The sequence below is a fragment of the Homo sapiens genome, chromosome 3 (assembly GCF_000001405.40).
Source record: "Homo sapiens chromosome 3, GRCh38.p14 Primary Assembly".
In the NCBI taxonomy this organism is placed as follows: Eukaryota; Metazoa; Chordata; class Mammalia; order Primates; family Hominidae; genus Homo; species Homo sapiens.
The window spans coordinates 7,882,898-7,885,516 of record NC_000003.12 but is presented as its reverse complement, the minus strand read 5'-3'; the positions used below and the strand labels follow the sequence as shown (position 1 = coordinate 7,885,516).

At 41.8% G+C, this 2,619-nt stretch overlaps 1 long non-coding RNA gene across 1 annotated transcript; it reads left to right on the top strand.

Annotated features, from left to right (window-relative positions):
* The first annotated feature begins 911 nt into the window (after positions 1-911).
* On the top strand, positions 912-1,801 carry LOC124909342 (uncharacterized). The gene is made up of 2 exons (XR_007095813.1): positions 912-1,563; positions 1,701-1,801. It is a non-coding gene; the product is annotated as an uncharacterized LOC124909342 (long non-coding RNA).
* Positions 1,802-2,619: the final 818 nt, after the last annotated feature.

Sequence of the window (2,619 nt, the reverse complement as noted above, 5' to 3'; positions counted from 1 at the left end):
CGATTATTGCCTCAAATATGTTTTCCAAACTTTTAGATTTCTCTTCTCCCTTGGGAACATCAATTTTTCTTAGGTGTGGTTGTTTGACATAATCCCAAATTTTTTGGAGGCTTTATTAAATTTTTTAAATTATTTTTTCAAAATTCTTCTTTCTTTGTCTGTGTCATGATGGGTTAATTCAAAAGCCCTGTCTTTGAGCTCTGAAGTTCTTTCTTCTACTTGTTCAGTTCTATTGCTGAGACTTTCCAGTGCATTTTGCATTTCTCTATGTGTGTCCTTGATTTCCAAAAGTTGTAATTGTTTTTTATTTATGCTGTCTATTTCACTGGAGATTTTTCCATTCACATCCTGTATCATTTTTTTGATTTCTTAAAGTTGGACTTCACCTTTCTCTGGTGCCACCTTGATTGGCTTAATAATCAACCTTCTGAATTTTTTTTCTGGCAATTCGGAGATTTCATCTTGGTTTGATCCATTGCTAGTGAGCTAGTGTGATCTTTTGGGGATGTTGAAGAACCTTGTTTTTTTTTCATATTACCAGAATTGTTTTTCTGGTTCCTTCTCATTTGGGTAGACTATGTCAGAGGGAAGATCTGGAACTCAAGGGCTGCTGTTCAGATTCTTGTGTCCCATGGGGGTGCTCCCTTGACCTGGTGCTCTCCCCTTTGCCCTAGGGATGGGGCTTCCTGAGAGCCAAACTGCAGTGATTGTTAGTTCTCTTCTGGATCTAGCCACCCAGTGGAGCTACTGGGCTTTGGGCTGGTTCTGGGGAGTACCTATAAAGAGTCTTTTGATGTGATTCATCTTCAGGTCTCTCAGCTTTGGATACCAACACCTACTCTGGTGGAGGTAGCAGGAGAATGAAGTGGACTCTGTGAGAGTCCTTGGTTGTATTTTTATATGTGTTGGTTTTTGTATTTTCATGTGTGTTGCTTTTGTGTTGGCTGGCCTCCAGGAAGGAGGTAGCACTTTCAAGAGCACATCAGCTGTGATTGTATAAGGAGGATACAAGCTTGCCCTAGGGTCACCCTTGGATAAGTATTCAGGTTTCTCAGGCAGTGGGCAGGGTCATAGAGCTCCCAAAAGATTATGTTCTTTGTATTCTGGCTACCAGGGTGAGTAGAGAAAGACCATCAAGTGGGAGCAGGGTTAGGCATGTCTGAGCTCAGTCTCTCTTGGGCAGGGCTTGCTGTGGCTGCTGTGGCAGATTGGGGTGTGGTTCACAGGCCAGTGCAGTTATGTTCCTTGGGGGATTATGGCTGTCTGTTCTGCATCACACAGGTTGCCAGGGAAATGGGGGAAAGATGGCAGCCACAGACCTCACCCACCTCCCACTCAGCCCATGGCCTGAAAGGCCAGTTTCACTCCCACCATGCCCCCAGCCCCACCCAAAAGCACTGAGTTTATTTCTAGGCAGCTGATGAGCAGGACCGAGAACTTGCCCCAGGCTACAAGCCTCCCAGCTGAGAAAGCAAGGGGACTCACAGTTCCTTGGCTGCCCATGGAGCCTGCAGTGGCAATCAACTGTCTTCAACGCATCTGTGGATTCTCTCAGCTTTCCTGGTATGTTCCTGGGATAGTTCTTGGAGAAAAGTTAGCAATGTGGGTCTCCACATGCTGCTCTGTCCCTCTGAGTAGGAGCTGCAAGTTCATCCTGCTTCCTGTCTATCACTCTCTCCTCTTTTTCTCATTTTAACAAGGAGGAAGAGCAGAATATCTATTTTTAATCGCTGTTGAAAGAACTAACCAAGATAACTCACAGAATATGTCTGGCCTAGAATAAAATTTTAATAAATATAAAGTATGTTTACCCTTCATTTTTGTTTATCAGAGGGAAAAACATTCCCAGAGTTTTCTGAGTGATCATAGCAGAGGTAGGCATATAACCTCATCTTATTTTTTAACTTTTATTTTAGTTTTGGAGTACATGTGCAGGTTTGTTATATAGGTGAATTATGTGTTGTCAGGATTTGGTGTACAGAGCATGTCATCACCCCAGTAATAAGCATAGTATCCAATAGGTAGGTTTTCCTTACCCTCTTCCCAAACACTAGGCACAGTGTCTGTTGTTCCCTTATTTATGTCCATGTGTACAGAATGTTTAGTTCCCACTTGTAAGTAAAGCATGTGGTATTTGGTTTTCTTTCCCTGTGTTAATTCACTTAGGAAAATGGCCTAGAGCTCCATCCATGTTGCTGAAAAGGACATGATCTCATTCTTTTTTATGGCTGTGTAGCATTCCTTGATGTATATGTACCACATTTTTTTAAATCTAGTCTACAATTGATGGGCATTTAAGTTGATTCCATGTCTTTGTTATTGTGAATAGTGCTGCAGTGAACATACACGTGGATGTATGTTTATGGTAGAATGATTTATAACCCTTGGGGTATATACCCAACAATAGGATTATTGGGTCAGATGGTAATTCTAAGTTCTTTGAGAAATTGTGACACTGCTTTCCACAATGGCTGAACTAATTTTCATTCCCACCAGCAGTGTAGAAAGTGTTCCCCTTTCTCCACAACCTTGACAGCATCTGTTATTTTTTGACTTTTTAGTAATAGCCATTCTGACTAGTGTTTGATGGTATCTTATTGGGGGTTTGACTTGTATTTC